This window comes from Homo sapiens, chromosome 8 (assembly GCF_000001405.40).
Source record: "Homo sapiens chromosome 8, GRCh38.p14 Primary Assembly".
Lineage (NCBI taxonomy): Eukaryota > Metazoa > Chordata > Mammalia > Primates > Hominidae > Homo > Homo sapiens.
The window spans coordinates 17,708,395-17,727,248 of NC_000008.11; the positions used below are offsets into that span (position 1 = coordinate 17,708,395).

At 40.1% G+C, this 18,854-nt stretch overlaps 1 protein-coding gene across 11 annotated transcripts in view; it reads right to left on the minus strand.

The window, feature by feature from the left end:
* Window positions 1–18,854, minus strand: part of MTUS1 (microtubule associated scaffold protein 1) — a 157,720-nt gene that overhangs the window by 64,593 nt on the left and 74,273 nt on the right. For 6 of the 11 annotated variants that reach the window (NR_156437.2, NM_001363061.2, NM_001363057.2 and 3 more), the window contains 3 exons: window positions 15,278–15,439; window positions 7,373–7,507; window positions 4,820–4,858 (listed from right to left, as the gene is read on the minus strand). Coding sequence is in view for 10 of the 11 variants with exons in the window: in NM_001363061.2 (NP_001349990.1) it covers window positions 4,820–4,858; window positions 7,373–7,507; window positions 15,278–15,439 (336 nt within the window). In the remaining variant the exon portion in view is untranslated. Of the gene's footprint in view, window positions 1–4,819; window positions 4,859–7,372; window positions 7,508–13,317; window positions 13,596–14,026; window positions 14,182–15,277; window positions 15,440–18,854 lie in introns of those variants that run through there. The other 5 variants (NM_001363060.2, NM_001363062.2, NM_001001925.3 and 2 more) reach the window with 3 other exon arrangements.

Here is an 18,854-nt window from a genome sequence, read left to right on the forward strand (position 1 = left end):
AGGTATCACTTCATACCCAGTAGGGATAGCTATAATAAAAAAGACAGACAAAGCCAAGTGTTGACAAGGCTGTGGAGAAACAGGATTCTTCATACACTCCTGGTGAGGATATAAAGTGGTCCAGCCACTTTGGAAAACAGCCTGGAGGTTTCTTAAACTGTTAAACACAGAGCTACCAATTGAGCCAGTTTTCTGATAATGGTTAACTAATTTTTAAACAAAGCCATTCCATAGAATATTAGCTATCTTTTTTCCCCAGATATTAGGATGTACCAGAAACTTAAAAGGAAATAAAAGCCTAAATGTGTACAGCAGAGTTTCTTCTGCATTTTTACCCTATAAAGGCTTTAGTAACCACATATATTCACACTCAGCATCCTGGGGATCTTTAGAACTTAGATCATTCTGCATGGCTGTCTTCCTAGCTTTAAGAGCCTACAAAAGGTTACGAATTCTGAGATAGCTGGGCGCAGTGACTCACGCCTGTAATCCCAGCACTTTCGGAGGCCGAGGCGGGCGGATCACGAGGTCAGAAGATCGAGACCATCCTGGCTAACACGGTGAAACCCCATCTCTAGTAAAAATACAAAAAATTAGCCGGGCATGGTGGCAGGCGTCTGTAGTCCCAGCTACGCGGGAGGCTAAGGCAGGAGAACGGCGTGAACCAGGGAGGCAGAGCTTGCAGTGAGCAGACATCGCGCCACTGCACTCCAGCCTGGGCGACAGAGCAAGACTCTGCCTCAAAAAAAAAAAAAGAAAAAGAATTCTGAGATAATTTCCCCACACTTCCCTGCTTATTACACTGAGGAAACTGAATACACCTGATGGGGCATCAAGGATATTTGTTATTCATGTTATTCATGATGTAATGTTATCCCACCCTGTTTTCTTTACACAACAGGCTCAGAAATTTATACCTCTTGCCCAGGTTTCCCTCACATGACAGCCTTCAATCCGGACCTCTCTTCTAGGACAAGACAACCCTCCTTCCTAGAACTCAGTGCATTTGTGATTCATGTCTATTTGAGCAGGTTTTTTATTTTATTTTTTTAACTATCCTATTAGCTCTCCAGAGACAAGGCCCCTGCTCATTCTTCGCTCAGGACTGCATCCTTAACACCTGACACTCACAATGTGTGAACAAACTGTAGTCAACATTCTGTAACATTACATGCATACCTGGGAGATATATATCACCCCATAAGACACATGACATAATAAGGCAAATCACAAAAATTGTCTGGTTTCTCAGTGCATATAAAACTTATATTAACACTACACTATAGTCTAGTGTGCAACAGCATTATGTCTAAAAAAATATATACCTTAATTTGCCAGGCGTGGTGGCTCACACCTGTAATCCCATCAGTTTGGGAGGCCGAGGCAGGTGGATCATGAAGTCAGGAGATGGAGACCATCTGGCTAACACGGTGAAACCCCGTCTCTACTAAAAATACAAAAAATTAGCCGGGCATGGTGGCGAGCACCTGTAGTCCCAGCTACTCGGGAGGCTGAGGCAGGAGAATGGCGTGAACCCGGGAGGCAGAGCTTGCAGCGAGCAGAGATCATGCCACTGCACTCCAGCCTGGGCGACAGAGCAAGACTCTGTCTCAAAAAAAAAAAACACCTTAATTTAAAAATATTTCATTGCTAAAAAATGCTAAAGATCATCTGAGCCTTCAGTGAGCAGGAATTATTTTGCTGGTGGAACATCTTGCCTCAATGTTGGTGGCTGCTGACTGACTGATTAGGGTAGTGGTTGCTGAAGGTTTGGGTGGCTGTGGCAATTTAAAGTAAGACAGCAATGAAGTTTGCGACATCAATTGACTCTTTCATGAAAGATTTCTTTGTAGCACGTGATGCTGTTTCATAGCATTTTACCCACAGCAGAGAGTCTTTCAAAATTGGAGTCAATCCTCTCAAACCCTGCCACTGCTTTAAGTTTATGGAATATTCGGACTCCTTTGTCATTTCAACAGTGTTCACATCATCTTTACCAGGAGTAGATTCCATCTCAAGAAGATACTTTATTTGCTTATTCATAAGAAGCAACTCCTCATCTGCTCAAATTTTACCAGAGATCAACAGCAATGCAGTCACACCTTAGGCTTCACTTCTCATTCTAGTTCTCATCCTATTTCTACCACATCTGCAGTGACTTCCTCCACTGAAGCACTGAACCCCTCAAAGTCATCCATGACGGTTAGGTCAGCTTCTTCCAAACTCCTATTCACGTTGGTGCTCTGACCTCCTCCCATGAATCACGAATGTTCTTAATGGCATCTAGAAGAGCAAACCCTTTTCAGAAGGTTTTCAACTGACTTTGCCCCGTTCCATCAGAGGAATCAGTATCTAGGGCAGCTACAGTCTTACACAATGTACTTCTTAAATAGTAAGACCTGAAAGTCAAAATTACTCCTTGATCCATGGGCTGCAAAGTGGCTGCTATGTTAGCAGGTGTGAAAACATCCATCTTCCTGTACTATACTCTTGTACTATATATTACTATGTAATACACTATACTATACTCCATCAGAGTTCTTGGGTGACCAGGTGCACTGTCAGTCGGCAGTAGTATTTTGAAAGACATCTCTTGAGTTGTAGGTCTTAACAATGGGCTTAATATTCAGCAAACCATACTGTAAACAAATACGCTGTCATCCAGGCTTTGTTGTTTCATTTATAGAGCACAGGCAGAGTAGATTTAACGTAATTCTTAAGGGCCCTAGAATTTTCAGAATGGTAAGTGAACGTCAGCTTCAACTTAAAATTACCAGAAGTATTAGCTTCTAATAAGACAGCTTGTCATCTGAAGCCAGGCACTGACTTCTCCTGTTTACCTGTGCAAGTCCTAAACAGCATCTTCTTTCAATATGAGGCTGTTTCACCTACACTGAATGTCTGTTGTTTTGTGTAGCCACCTTTATCAAATGATCCCAGCTAGATCTTCTGGATGACTCGCTGTAGCTTCTACATCAGCACTTGCTGCTTCGCCCTGTACTTTCATGTTATGAAGAGTTACCTTAAACCTCATGAACCAACCTCTGCTAGCTTCCAGCTTTTTTTTTTCTGCAGCTCCCTCACCTCTCTCAGCCTTCATACAATTAAAGAGAGTTAGGGTCTCACTCTGGATTAGGCTTTGGCCGAAGTGAAAGTTGCAGCTGGCTTAATCTTCTGGTCAGACCACTCAGACTTTCTCTCTGCCGGGAGTCTGTTTTGCTTTCTTATTTGAGTGTTCACTAGAGGAGCACTTTTAATTTTCTTCAAGAACTTTTCCTTTCCATTTACAACTTGGCTAACTGCTTGGCACAAGAGACCTGGCTTCTGAATTATCCTGGCTTTCAATGTGCCCTCCTCATTAAACTCAATCATTTCTATCTTTTGATTTAAAGTGAGAGACATGCAACTTTTCTTTCACTTGAATATTCAGAGGTCATTATAGGGCTATTAATTGGTTACTTTCAATATTATTGTGTCTCAGGGAATAAGGAAGACCAAGAAAAGGGAGAGAGATGGAAGAGGGACCAGTCAGTGGAGCACTTGAAATGCAAACGTATCAGCTGTGTTCACTGTCTTAGATGAGCATGGTCCATGGTGTCCCAAAACAATCACAACAGTAACATGGAAGATCACTGATCGCAGATCACCGTAAAAGATATAATAATAATGAAAAAGCTTGAAATAGTGTGAGAATTACCAAAATGTAACACACAGACATGAAGTGAGCAACTGCTGTTGGAAAAATGATGCTGGTAGAGTTGCAAAAAGCACAGTATTTGCAAGGCTCCAGAAAATGAGCGATGCTTGTACCTTCGTTTCTTCTGATTTGCTCTTCTAATCTGCCATGGATTTAGAAGGCACATAACTGTTTTATCACTGTATATAAAATAAGACAATGTAGGCAGTGTACAGGAGACCTTATCTATCTAGAGAGATCAATCCATCTATCTTTTTTTTTTTGAGACAGGGTCTCACTGTGTCACCCAGGCTGGAGTGCAGTGGTGTAATCTACGCTCAATGCCACCTCTGCCTCCCAGGTTCAAGCAATTATCCTGCCTCAGCCTCCTGAGTGGCTGGGACTCCAGGAGCGTACCACCACGTCCGGCAAACTTTTTTGTATTTTTAGTAGAGATGGGGTTTCACCATGTTGGCCAGGCTGGTCTTGAACTCCTGACCTCAAGTGATCCACCCACCTTGGCCTCCCAAAGTGCTGGGATTACAGGTGTGAGCCACTGGGCCCAGCCTATCTGTCGGTCTGTCTGTCTGTCCATCCATCCATCCATCCAAAGTATAGGAATCGCAGTGAAGATATTTTGTGAAATCTTTTATGGGTTCTTGAGAGACATAAAGTTTTGGATTCTCAGCTGTGGTTCAAATAGTGGAGGCTGCAGGCTATCTTGGGAATGTTAAGTCCAGTGAAAGTGTGAAAAAAAAAACATAAAAATATAGGCTGCTGAACTGGGAAAAGGTGCTAAAACCAAATATTGAGACCACTTAAAAATTAAGGAATATCCAATTTCAAAATAGCATTGATCTTGGGGGAAGTACATTTTCCATTTCATTTAGACCACATTAACAAAATCATTTTTTAAAAGACTATAACTATCTATTAGTAATACAATGTCCTTTCATGCATTAGATGGCCAGTCATGCTTACCGTATTTTAATGCTATGCGACCCGTCATAAAAAGTTAGGTTTACACCTCAAATTGGAAATTCTACTTATAAGCACACCAGTAAAAAATCACTGTAAATACTTGTAGTAACATAACTTTACAAAAAGATTCTTTTTATCGCCATCCATAAAGTGGTCACTCACCTGCATTAAGAGCTGTAAATAAATTTTTTCTCGAAGGACCTAAGATATAAAAGAAACATGTAAAATACATATGTTTTATTTGACATATCACATAAAAACAAACCATGTTGATAAGAATTATTTTCAAAAACAATCAATCGCTACATTTCAGGTTCCCGGTGGGAAATATCACCGAGATTCAACCAACTTTTGTCAAGTGCATTTTAAATATAAGGTGATATTTCACATAACATCAAAATGTTTAAGTATGATATGAAGTCACCACAAATTAAATAGGACCAGTTTTAAAAGGAAAAGCCGCAGTATTTTTTCAGTCAAGAACAGCTGAAGTTCAAGTTTTAACAGTACTGAATTCACAGACTGTGCACATATGCCATTCTGCTGCCGGGAGAGCAGAGGCCAGACTTCACGAAGGACAGTCACTCCCGTGTGCTTTCCGAAACTACCCGTTTCTATTCAGCTATGAAGAAAAATAGAAGTTTTTCCTCCAAACTGATAAAATATAAAATCAGGAGGGGTAATAGGTACACAGCTGTAAGTCACTAAAAGAAATCTATGATGCTTCTACTTAACATGAAATAGTTGTTTCTAGGACATAATCATCTGCAGATACCAGTTAGAACAGCTACCATGTTCTATCTGAAATTTTACAGAGATGATGATCTCTTAAAATACGTGGCTGTTATCAATGGAAAGCACTGATTCCCACACAGGTAAAACTGTTGCGACATAACCTATCCATTCAATAGTGAGGCATTTTAGAATTCTGAGTCTCCTGTTCTACAAAGCTGTCCATGGAATCTCATTCTCTGCAAGTTATTTTAGTATCAAAGTTCAACAGCGTTAACTTCATTATTGCTGTGTGGATCATGGGGCTTTATCATCATCAATAAAAAACCACAGTTTTCCAACCTGATGTCAACTCAGCAAGAGGTCATTTGGTGCCTCCGAAATTTGATTAACTCCCTAGGCAAATGACAACCTGCTGCACACTGAAGAATTCAACCCACTCCTAAAATTCATGCCTATTTTCTCTTCAATTCAGTACAAAGAAAAGGTATTGACATACATTAACCAGCCTCAAGGTACCATATTATCCTTTAAACACACACACAGAGAGAGAGAGAGACATGTTAAGGAGGATGCTGTGACAGAGTAACACCTCTGAGAAAGTTACTAATAGATATTAACAATCCAAAGAGTTTCATGCAGGTTAACCCAGTAATTCCTCCTTCTGGGATATCCACAAGTAACCAGAATCTGAAACAATGAATCTTGACTCACATTTGAAGAGGTTCATCTCAGTATTAATAAACCCCAATAAAAGTCAGAAGTTGCCCACTATAAACTGAAGTGGACAACCATAGAATAGCCATTTAAAGTGAAGAAGCTCTCCTGATACACTACTAACTTAATAAAAAGCAAGATACAGAAGAGTATATTCATTATTACCTCAGTTTTGCTGGAATAAAAACAAAACAACATATACATACAGAGGAAAAAAGTCACAAGGAAATGTGACAGCAATTGCTGGTTGACAGAATTAAGGAAGACTCTTTGTTTCTGTGTTTTCCAAATTCTCTAACATAAATGTGGGTCTCATTTTATAGGTCAAGTTTCTCACTCACAATTATTCGCTCAGGCTTTAGTTAAGCTTCAGTTCACTAAGCACAAATAATGCTTTTTTTTTTTTTTTTTTTTTTTTTTTTTGAGACAGAGTCTCACTCTGTCACCCAGGCGGGAGTGCAGTGGCGCGATCTCGGCTCACTGCAACCTCTGCCTCCTGGGTTCAAGCAATTCTCATGCCTCAGCCTCATGAGTAGCTGGGACTACAGGTACACACGACCATGCCCAGCTAATTTTTGTATTTTTAGTAGAGATGGGGTTTTGCCATGTCGGCCAGGCTGGTCTCAAACTCCTGACCTCAAGCAATCCACCTGTCTTGGCCTCCCAAAGTGCTGGGATTACAGGCGTGAGCCACCGCATGTGGCACAAAGAAGGCTTCTGATGTGCTTTGGCCCCACTGAGACAAAGCTGCATGAAAACATTGCACATTAAGTGTATACCACATATTTTGTAAACCTGAAAATTACTTTTCATAATCACAGCAAATAAAAAGTGAGGGATATGAGAAGGAACAGAGATAAAGAACATTTAGAGGAAGAACAATGTCTTAGACCAAAGACATGAAGACACAAGTACAGTAATAAACATAAAACATCTACCCTGATGAAAAGTAATCATGCATTTCTACTCCTTTCTCACTATTCTAGAGCACTGTTTTAGAATAATTTAACTCCTGAAGTTTTGCTGTTTCTACCTTATACCTTTGTTCTGCCTGCTGACTTACACGTAATGATTTTTAACTATAGAACCTACCAACTGTCAGAAAAACAATTTCCTCAGTGCAAAAATGTATTATATCTCCTTTCTCAACATATTTGTAATCATTGTTGACTATACCATAAACCTAATTGTCAAAATTTAACTTTCTACAAGCCAAGGACTTTAAGCGTCTTGCCCTCCCTCTTCAAACCACAATGAGGACTGTACCTTTTGGAGGAGTTTTCATCAAGTGAACATGAGCCCTGGATACCAAAGGCTTCAAATAAAAGGATCCTGAGGAACCATTCTGAAATGCTGGTTTTGGAGGTTTCTCCTCATATTTGATGACAGCGGCATTACCAGCTGTAATAAAACAGAAAAGTACATTTTATTGTATAGATAAACACAGTTTCGACCTTCCACATTTATTCCTTTGTCCTTGAACCAACAAATGCTCAATAAGCACCTACGACATGCCAGTCATTACTGAACATTGGGAATACAACATGGATAACAGGTAGCTTGTGTCTCAGGGATGCGAAATAAAGGCTATAATCAGAGTGACCACACATCCTGGTTAGCCTGGCACAGTCCAAGCTTATGCATCTTGTCCAGTTCAGCTTTCATCCCAGATAAGAGTTGGGGAAGAAATAATACAGCCACTTCATGCTATGTAACAAGAATGCCCCAGGTGCAGCTAGGAAGAGCACCCATCTCCATGGGGACAAGGAAGAATTCGCACAGTCAGCTAGTTAATGACACAAGAACAGTAACATACAGACTCCTTGGTAGCTATAAGGACACGCTCTGGTTCAAATCCTTGCTCCTACAGCAAGGAGTTAAAATGCTAACTTCTGCCCTGAACAAAGGAAGTTTGTTCCAAAGTAAACTTTATGTTTTAGCTCCAAAGCAAAAACATAAAAGGGAATCTTACCTCAATAACAAAAACCATCTTTTTATATTATGTGTAAAAATTTCCCCTCCACCAATCCAGACTGGATTTTCTACTGTTTGTTTGTTTGTTTGTTTGTTTTGAGACGGAGTCTCACTCTGTCGTCCAGGCTGGAGTGCAGTGGCATGATCTCGGCTCGCTGCAAGCTCCGCCTCCCGGGTTCACGCCATTCTCCTGCCTCAGCCTCTTGAGTAGCTGGGACTACAGGCGCCCGCGGCCACACCCGGCTCATTTTTTCTATTTTTAGTGGAGACGGGGTTTCACTGTGTTAGGCAGGATGGTCTCGATCTCCTGACCTCGTGATCTGCCCGCCTCAGCCTCCCAAAGTGCTGGGATTACAGGCGTGAGCCACCGCACCTAGCCTGTTTGTTTCCAAATAATGATCAATATCCAATTCTAGGCACCCAATTCTATTCTACTATTCAACGCTTATAAATTTCTTTATTACCAACTATGATCCCTTTTCTCACTTCACTCACTTAGCAAAGGGTTAAGATACCTACCTTGTTTACAAATGCATTATAAATGTGAAGACAGCTAGAAATTTTTCACTAGGCTAACCTATTCCAACTGCTACAATAGTGCTTATACACATCACATTCAAACTTTGTACAGGCGTGCTATTATTTTCCCCTAATCCACACCCAGGCCCTGTACAATGAGCCATCTGTTCATTGTTCTCGTGCCCAAATAACATTCCTAATATTAGGTCAAATCAACACAGAGCTTTCCCTCCTGCTGAGAAAATTCTGTCAATTTCCTGTCCTTTTTTCCAATTCTCACCTTCCCTAGAACCTAGAGACTTGGCTTTTCCAAAGTTGACAGGAAGCTAATGGGAGTGACAGTATTAAAGACACCGCCATTACAACATTCAACAGAACCCTTTTTAGATGTTCATAGAAAATGGATATTGGGTTTCAATTAGCATTTTAGCTTTTGCTGAATCAAATCCAACAAAGAAAATTAGACAGTCTTAACCATGGAATTATAACAATCTGGATTTTAGTCTTACTTTTCTTGAAGCCGTATTTGATTATATTCAGCAACAAATAAGTCACTTATTCATATTTTAAAAAATTAAACTGAGTTCAATTTACAGACCTAATATGCAATTGTATGATTCTAAATTCATGCTTTTCTTTTCTAAAATTTAGAGACACAAAGGCCCACGGTTCACAAAGAGATCAGTAAAAAGATTTTCACTAAAGTAAAGGACAGGTTCTTCATGAGGGATGGTACTCCTGTGTCCCTTGCCTCTCTGTCACATGCAAAATAGGAGGTGGTGTGCTGGAAATCAGCTGTCTCACTGCCACTTTTCAGACTCAATACAACACTAGATCAACCCGGCACCACACCCATCATCAGCTTCATAACACGCAACATGAAGTCAGAATTCATACTGCAAGGATAAAATGTCTGCGTTTGACTCAGGTACAAACACACATGCATTTATATTTTATACATATTTACATGAAAGCTATATATACAAGATACATATTCATATACTCTATGATCAACGATTGTACCTGCTTTCTGCTTTACTAATGGCAGGCACAACCTGTACTGAGCTGAACATAATTTTATGACTAACAATATCTTTCTCTCAATTTCTACTTACTGTACTCTAGGCTGGCCCACTGCTTTCCAGTAAACCCCAACTTGAAGGATGTATACCACCATGAGTCATAATGCTCTTCAAATATTTCCCCTGCCCTCTATTTCTGTTCCTAACATGGCAACTGACTGAGTATCCTGATGCTATCTAAATTTTCCCTCAGCCAGAGTCATTATATCCAAACAATAAAGTCCTCAGCGGCAACAATTCCAATATAAGAGATGCATAATAGTTTCCAGCAATGGAACAGGATGTAAAATATCCTAGTTCTGGTGCTGACTTGACCACTGCCTAGCTGTGCTGAATCACCTATCTATGAATAACAAGGGTCTGAATATCGGGTATGGGAATAGACAGTGCATTCGCCCATATCGGGTATGGGAATAGACAGTGCATTTGCCTTCACAACTCACTGTGGTATTCAGTCCCACTGAGGCTGGATGCATCCTCAGAATCATCCTAAAGACAGTGTTCTAGAGAGCCATGGACACTAAACACTGCTGGCTTGAAGAGACAATACATAAAATTTTTCATGTGGCCACCTACTTCTCAACCTGATCTAATATGTAGTTTAAAACTGCCCCTTTGTCATCTTTGGTCCCAACTGTCTCAATTATGCCAGAATAACAGATTCTCTGGAATCTTTATCTTCATTTCCCCATGGCCAAAGTGTGGTTCAAGTGAAATAAAGGAGCTGGTGAGTCTAAAAGGAAAAACTAAGGGATATTCTCAGGAAAGCCCAAGCAGAAGACATGATTTTCCTATTAGAAAAGGGCTTCTCATGCTGGGCACAGTGGCTCACAACTGTAATCACAGAACTTTGGGAAGACAAGGTGGGCAGATCACTTGAGGCCAGGAGTTTGAGACCAGCCTGGCCAATATGGCAAAACCCTGTCTCTACTGAAAATACAAATATTAGCTGGACGTGGTGGTAGGCACCTGTAATCCCAGCTACTCAGGAGGCTGAGGTGGGAGAACTGCTTGAACCCAGGAGGCGGAGGTTGCAGTGAGCCGAGATCGTGCCACTGCACTCCAGCCTGGGCAACAGAGTGAGACTCTGTCTCAAAAAAAAAGAAAAGGGCTTCTCATTGTTTCAGACTTTTATCTGCAAACTAACATTCATACTACATTCTAACACCTAGTGAAAATTCGCTTTTATTACATTATGTATATACACACAGAGCCAACATTCTGTTCATTTCTTGAATTTTATGTGAATCAGTTTAACACTCCCCACTGTGCCAGATCATCTGCCCACTTGGCTTAAAATCAAAGTACTACTGAAATCTAAACTTTTGAATTTCAAAAGCAATATCACTCAACTATATAATAACAAGAATGTCTCACATATACCCTAGAAAAACGTGAACAGAGAAAGAACGAGAACAAAGTTAACAGTGGTCTGGATAATATTTCCTTTTTAAATAGTCCATTCAGAAGTGCGTAAGTACTAACATGTTTTGTGATGTGGAGCCTAATGAATCTACCGCCTGTTCCTCATCTTAGCCTCACCCATGACAGACATCACGACTTGAACACAAAACTTTCCCTCTGAACCTGGAGGCACCCTGAGAAACCACTGACACCATCCTACAGGCGAATTCTTATCCACTAACCAGTGTTGGCCACTAACCAGTGTTGGCAGGTGAGACAATATTCACTTCCCATTCCTGTTGTGAGAGAAGAAAAAAAACAAAAAACAAAAAACTAAGGGTAAATAAGATCCACCCTATTCTTTATCAGCTTAATCACTTGAACAACTCAAAACACCATCCTGCCAAACAATGAGGCCCTGTCTTATTGCAGTGAAAAGGGTCAGAAATGTTTGTTGCTGCAAGGACTTTGAAGATGACCCAGTCCTCCCTTGTCATTGATCAGAGGAGAGTATGGAGGCTGGAGGCTAAGAAAAGACAAAGATAGTCCAACTTAACATGAGTTAGTAGGAAAACTACGGTGGGACCGGGCGTGGTGGCTCATGCCTGTAATCCCAGCACTCTGGGAGGCAGACGCAGGCATATCACTTGTGGTTAGGAGTTCGAGACCATCCTGGCCAACATGGTGAAACCCCATCTCTACTAAAAATACAAAAATTAGCCGGGCATGATGGGGCATGCCTATAATCCCAGCTACTTGGGAGGTTCAGACAGGAGAATTGCTTGAACCCGGGAGGCAGAGGTTGCAGTGAGCTGAGATCATGCCACTGCACTCCAGCCTGGGCGACAAGAGCGAAACTCCATCTAAAAAAAAAAAAAACAAAAAACAAAAAACAAACTAAGGTGGGTCCAAGGTTAGTGCCCTTTTCTGCATGTTACACCCCACTCAGCCAGGGCTGTCAGTGAAGGTGAAGGGAAAGAACACTCCATTTCTTTTATTCAGTCTCCTTCTGTTCCTTCCATTTCCAGGAGAATGCAAATAGCTTTGGTCTGCACCTCTTACATTTCCCCTACCATCTGGCTCTCAAATATAAACATGGTTTTGTGGCCAAAGTGGAAGAGGAAGTAATGTCTTTGGACCTTACTTTCCTGCTAACATCGCAAAGTTATACACTCTCCCAAGACCCCCTTCTAAATTGCACAATAGTCCCCAAATCTTCAACTCTGTTCATGACATACAATATATCATTTATTTTTACCCAGTTACTTTAATGATCTTAAAAACTGGATATTAGGTATCTGAGTGTGAAAGACCTTATAATCTTTAACCTCTATAAATGAGCACATTTGGTATAGAAACCATTGTGAAATGTTTTACACTAATATCCAAAAGGATCAAGATCGTAACTTTGAAATTTTCTACACTTAAAAGAACACACACAAAGAACCTGCTAAAATTCCCAAATAAGAACAATTTATTGCCTTACGTATTTTGATTTGGTCATTTAAAAAATTTAGTAACATTATTTCTATAGGATCCCAAAGTTCCGAGAACCCAGTGCTAATTTTACAACAGCACTGTGTTATATCAGAAGTTCTTAAATGATGCCACTAAAGATATCACATCACAAAGAAACAAGCAGACAAAGCGAGAAACCAATATTTGTTAAAGGGATTCAAATACTTAAGCCAGTATAAATCAGAACACTGATCAAAAGAGGAAGTTAATTCTTAACATGACCACCCATTATCAGAAACAGGAAATTTTCAGCGCGAGATGATTTTTTCATGTTTTGAGGTAGCCTTTAAAAGTATACATGTTTAATACTTTCAGTTACAACTTAGGAAAATAAAGATGTGATGTTTCCATTTTAATTTTAGAAAAGTATTTTTCTACACTTGCACAACTACCAGCTACATACACACAAAAACTAGTTATTTCATAAGAAATTAAACCATCAAAAAGTCTTTGATAATAGGATAATTTCATGTGCCAGAACATTAACGATGCTGCTGAATTATATTAAGAGTGCAAAACACATAAAAGAGACAACAAAATTGGTCCTACACAGAAGCATTCACATCTTAAATATACATACAAAATGCCCCCAAATACTACCATTACCATAAATTACAAGTTACAAAAACAGAAGTCAAGAGATCCTAAATCAATTTATTGAATAAAAATTTAAGCATGCTTACAAAGAAAAGAAACCAGAAATCGTCGACCTACTTTTTTTCCCAGTAAACGTGGCTAACAAAGGAATTATACAAAGGCTGTACGATCCCACGACCAGCAGTGTCAATAAGGTAGCATCATAGTGCCTCTCTGAACCAGCCGGTGGGGTGAGTGTAGAATTGATAAAGATTTTTGAAGAAATATCAGTTTCTGTACAACTGCGAAATCCTCCTGGTACAGTCATTTAAAAGGATCAAAGCAAGCTTAAGCAGGAAAAACTGCAGCCATGTTCACTCTCATATCCCTCATGCTTGCTCTTAGTGAATTCGAATGGAGGGAAAAAAAAAAAAATGCGTAAGCTCCAAGGCACTACACAAAACAGATTAAACCAGCTAGCAAATCAAACTAAGAAAGAGACTCACTGATTTGAATGCTTAATCCGCAACAGGAACACATCGCCACTAGACAGGCTCTGTGGGTGTATGGTAAACCCCTTTGTTAAAAGACAAAAAGGAATGGACAAAAGCACTTTACAGCCTCCTTAGGAGCATCAGACACAGTACTGAAACGGTGGCCAAGTCAACATGGATGTCGATGGAAAACACGGGGCTGTGGCACTACAGACTGTGTCTGCTTCAAGTGCCACAAATTCTGTTGCCACAACAGTTTTTCTAGAGCATGTTGGTGATTCTGTTTTGGCAGTTTGTCTTTAAAATTGCTTTGCAAGACAAAGAGAGCTTAAAATAATACACGTGTGAATTACCTTTTCAAATTCAGAGTTCCCTCTTACATGCAAGCCTGATTTTGTGCCACACCTTCAAAATTCCAACAGTAAAGCTGGTAACAATCCTGTTTAATTGCAAGTCACATATCCCAGTATTCCTGAAGTGCCAGGGTATGCAGCTACTTACTCTCATATGAGTCCAGCTACTGCTGCTAGGTGACCCGTCGGAAATGTGCTCATTAATTCGGTCATTAATTCAATGCCTTCTCTACAAAAAATGCATTCTCAATTCCCTCACATAGCTGCTGTGTGATTTTAGACCAGTGACAACATCTCTGAGCCTCAATCACCTTCTATATAAATATCAGGGTAACAGCAGAAGTTACCTGAGAGAAAAAAATAAAAGCAAATATGGACATCCTAAAGTACTGCTCCACACCCAGAGGAGCCTCATGAGCATTATTACACTTTGTCCCCAACTCCTCACCCAAAAGAAGAAACTGATCTGTCAAACTGAAGAGATCAGTTCGCCACTCCTCTCCACACCCTTGTGTCTGGTTTTATTGGTATTCTCATCATCCATGAAAATACCTTCTTTTTCTCCTCAACTATTTTTTAGAATAAGGGCCATTTCTTTTATATCCTGTGCTCCTCACTGCGCCTATCATGGTGTCTGTGCACAGCGGGCACTCCAAGATGGTTTAAATTTATGAATTATTTCGTGGGGAAGTATAAAAAAGGAAATGAGAAAATAAGAACCAAGTCCAAATACATCTTTGGAATGAAAGAGGTATCTCAGTAAATTCACTCATTTATACACAGAAAATAGAACTCACGTTAACTGAAAACTTTAACAAAATTCTCCTGAGTTTCAATTTTTTAGAATTAGGATTCAAGTTATATTAGTCCTATTACACAAAATCTAGCATCCAAAGATTCCACAGGAGATAGTCTTTTGCAAAGTAAATGAAACTGAAATAATCTTTTTTTCTGATTCCAGTTAGAGTCCAAATCCCCTGGGTTGCTACTCTTAAACCTCCAAAACACCATCACTTCAGACGATGCACTTTCGAATCCTTCATGCAAAAATATACTTTAACACATAATTATTTCAAGAGTGTTTTTCAAAGAATTTTTTTTCTGCCAAACTTTCAGAGCAACTCCAAGGAAGCAGTATGCCTATTTTTCCTGAAACCCCAGAAACAAAAATTCTAATTATTTGCAGAGCATTAGTTTTTCTTGTAATGACTGTTTCCACAACCCCCGAAGTGTGATATAAAGTCGACTTACAATTGTTGCTGTAAGTGCTCAGCTCACTGTGGGTGCTGGCTATTGAGGGGGTGCTTCCTGTCCTCCGCAGCGCAGGACTTTTCAAAGATGCTTTGGATTTAGGAAGTGGTCTAGGCAAATTCACCCATGACGACTGTGCAGTTTTCAAGGATGTAGGCTTTCCTTGGGGTTTAAAAAAAACAAAAAGTTTCCAGTGCTATTCATCCCGAAAGCTGGCACTTTTTAAGCCTGTAAACTCAAACTTCTGCACTAACAACAAAGTCAAAACACAAAATGAATGTTCACAATCATGTAACTTCAGATGAAAGATGAAAGCTTCACGCAGACATGTTTATTTTTGATCATTTAGAGGCAAGAGAGCAGAAATGATGAGGCAATTAGGATATGAGAAGTGTAGGAGTAACCCTGTCTCCTAAAGTAATTAACTCACACATGTTCTCTGAAGGAGATGATCAATCAGAATAATCATGAGAAAGCAGCTTTTGGCAAAACTGAAATAAAAAAATAAACAAATTGATACGACCCCCCATACTGGTGACTAAAAAAAAAATAATCCATTAGGACAATAGGCTATCATATAAGAAATAAATAAGAACCAAGTCCAAATACATCTTTGGAATGAAAGAGAGATCTCAGGAAATTCACTCATTTATACACAGAAAACAGAACTCACGTTAACTGAAAACTTTAACAAAATTCTCCTGAGTGGAAAATTTTAAAATCACCCAAACAGGAAGAAAAATGCAATTTGATAAGCAAAAATTTCATTTGAAAAATGCCTAATGTTCTAACACCAGGTGGTGCTATACTATTAAGATTTTTTTTTTTAATCTCACCTTTTCTTCTTTACTCCCCACACAGTTTATTTGCCAAACTTAAATGATCTTCACTCCAACTTGCAACTCTTTCTTGCAGTAAAAATGTTTCCACTTATCAGTGAAATAAATATACAGGCTGCGTATCCTCTGGCATCTCTGAAACTACATTCTCCTGATGCTCACGAACCTGCTACCTAAATATGGGCATTTCCCAAGCCCAGTCTTTCGCTCTTAACCCTCCTCATGCCCATTCTCTTGGAGAGTCTATTTTCTCTACTTTCCTCTAACCATTGTCCTATGCGGATGAATCCCATGTTCTCACCTGCAGCCCTATCTTCCTTCTGAATCTCAAGGCTACTCATGTTTTAAAGTACTTATTGAGTACTCTAGGTTTTCATCTTAGACCGACATGCTCCTGTTTATGCTAATTATAGCTCCACTGTTTTATTTTTTTAAAAATCTTGCTTTGTTGCCCAGGCTGGTCTCAAACTTCTGGCCTTAAGCAGTCCTCCCGCCTCAGTCTCCCAAACTGCTGGAATTACAGGTGTAAACCACCCCACCCAGCCATATAGCCCTATTTTTTATTTTTTTCCAGCTTCAAACCATTGGAATCATCTTTTCTTCCCCAGATCCCCATATATTCTAGCACTGTCTCCCAATGCTACCAGTACCACCTAACTGAAGACTACCCAGAGTTGAAAAAGACCTTTGATGAAAATGACATTGTTGCGTATCACTAAGGATCCCATAAGTGAGTCAAATAATGCTGCTGGAAAGTAATGCCCATTGCTTTGTTCTAGCGATTTTGCTCATAAAAACCTCATCCTAATGGAGAAAAAGATGCTGAAGCTCCTCAGGCCTGGCATTTGAAATTACCACATTAAGCTCCCCTCCTTCGGCTCCAGCCTCACTCTTGTATGGCTCTCCTACATCCATGTGTGCTCTGCTCCGATTAACCTCGCTTTCTCTCTGACACCAGGGCACATCATGTGCTATTCTATTAATATTCCAACAGGCACATCATTTCTTTTCAAAGAGCTCTTCTTCCACCCTTTGAATCCTTATTTAACCCTTTATATCATTGTCTAAACTGTATTGGACTCCTAAAATCCTGTCCTTCCATCCCTTCCAACTCCATCATGTTAATCTCCTAAATGTGAAAATTAAGGTCATGACCCAATCTAAAATTTGGGATTCTCCACCATCTACAGCATGCGGCCCAGCACAGCTTTGAACGCTAACCCAATACAAATTCATAAATTTTCTTAGAACATTATGAGATTTTTTTGCAATTTCTTTTATTAGCTCATCAGCTATCATCAGCATATTTTATGTGTGGCCCAAGACAATTCTTCTTCTTCCAATGTGGCCCAGGGAAGCCAAAAGATTGCACACCCCAATCTATAGGATGGTGATCGTAGTTTCAATCCTTTTATTTAATATTTAATTTCACAGGCTTAAAAGGCAATGTGGGGTTGATCCCTACCCACTTCTTCCCCCTCAGGCCATGCCTCTACCCCTTCATACACACACACCCCTTCGTGGTTTCTCTCCAGTCATTTCGCTCTATTCTTCTGCTTACGCCCATCCTTCCGACTGAACGGCCTCCTTTCTATCCCCTCCCCTATTTCTGTCCAGTGAATCCAAAGTCAGCTCAAGCTTCTCTTCTGAACCCTTGCTACTCATTTGCAGCTCCACCCTAGGCCTACTGAATCACCACCTGCAGTTTCACAAGATCCCCAGGTGATTAAAATGCACCTGGAGTTTCTGAAGCACTGTTGAGAATCAGGACCTCTCTGTGAGCTTATCCTGCCAGGACACCCTTCTCTGAATGCCGTGGACTAAGCCTTGCTTTCTCCTCACACCATGTACTTGTTTCTATCACAGCATTTGCCTCCACATTCTTCTTGGACCATCTCTAAGGTTCCTGAGATCAGGAAGAGCACCTGATTCAATTCTGGTCCTCAGGAACTGGCAAAGGTCTAGCATGGAGTGAGACTTAATAAATGTTTCCTCAACAAATTCATTTTTTTAAATGCCAACAGTAAATGATGTATTTTGATAATGTGTTCTCCCATCATCTATACTGAAGCATTCAGTGCTTAACCCATTTTTACAAGCTTATTTGAATCTTCAGTCTATTAGAGACTTTTTTCTTTACATCCTTTACAATAATTAGCAACTGTTAGATAGCAAATACACACTTTAAAAATTTATGGTTAGCCACCAGTTTTACTTGCTTTAGGAAGAACAGGAAAACAGATTTTTAGAATATAAATTTGCCAAATTGCCGCCCCTTCAGCAGAAACACTGATGAGTCATCATCAAAACTAATAAGCAAGGTTGGGCACGTAACAGATCAAAATGACTGGGCCACAGCCACAGTGCAGCCAAGGCTTCCTACATTTTGGAAATCAGCTTATTCTTCAGAAATGCATGCCTCATAGCTTTGTTTCTAAACACAACTTAGGTTTGCAGACATTTCTGAGTGTGCCTGGGAATTACTACAGAAGACCTGTACCTTCACACAGCTGCACTAGAGGAAAGCTTACCCCGGCAACCAAATATCATTTCCCTGACCTCCCCTATCTCATTGTCACCCCCATCCAGGCCCATCCCCTACACCTAATGGCAGCCAGTCCTCACCAAAGTCTTCCCAATTCCACCATGGCTCTTGACTAATGAGCAATGAGGATAATGAATGCCGATTTCACCAAAAGATTAGTTTCTTTGATAGAATAATCCTAACAGTGTGTGAC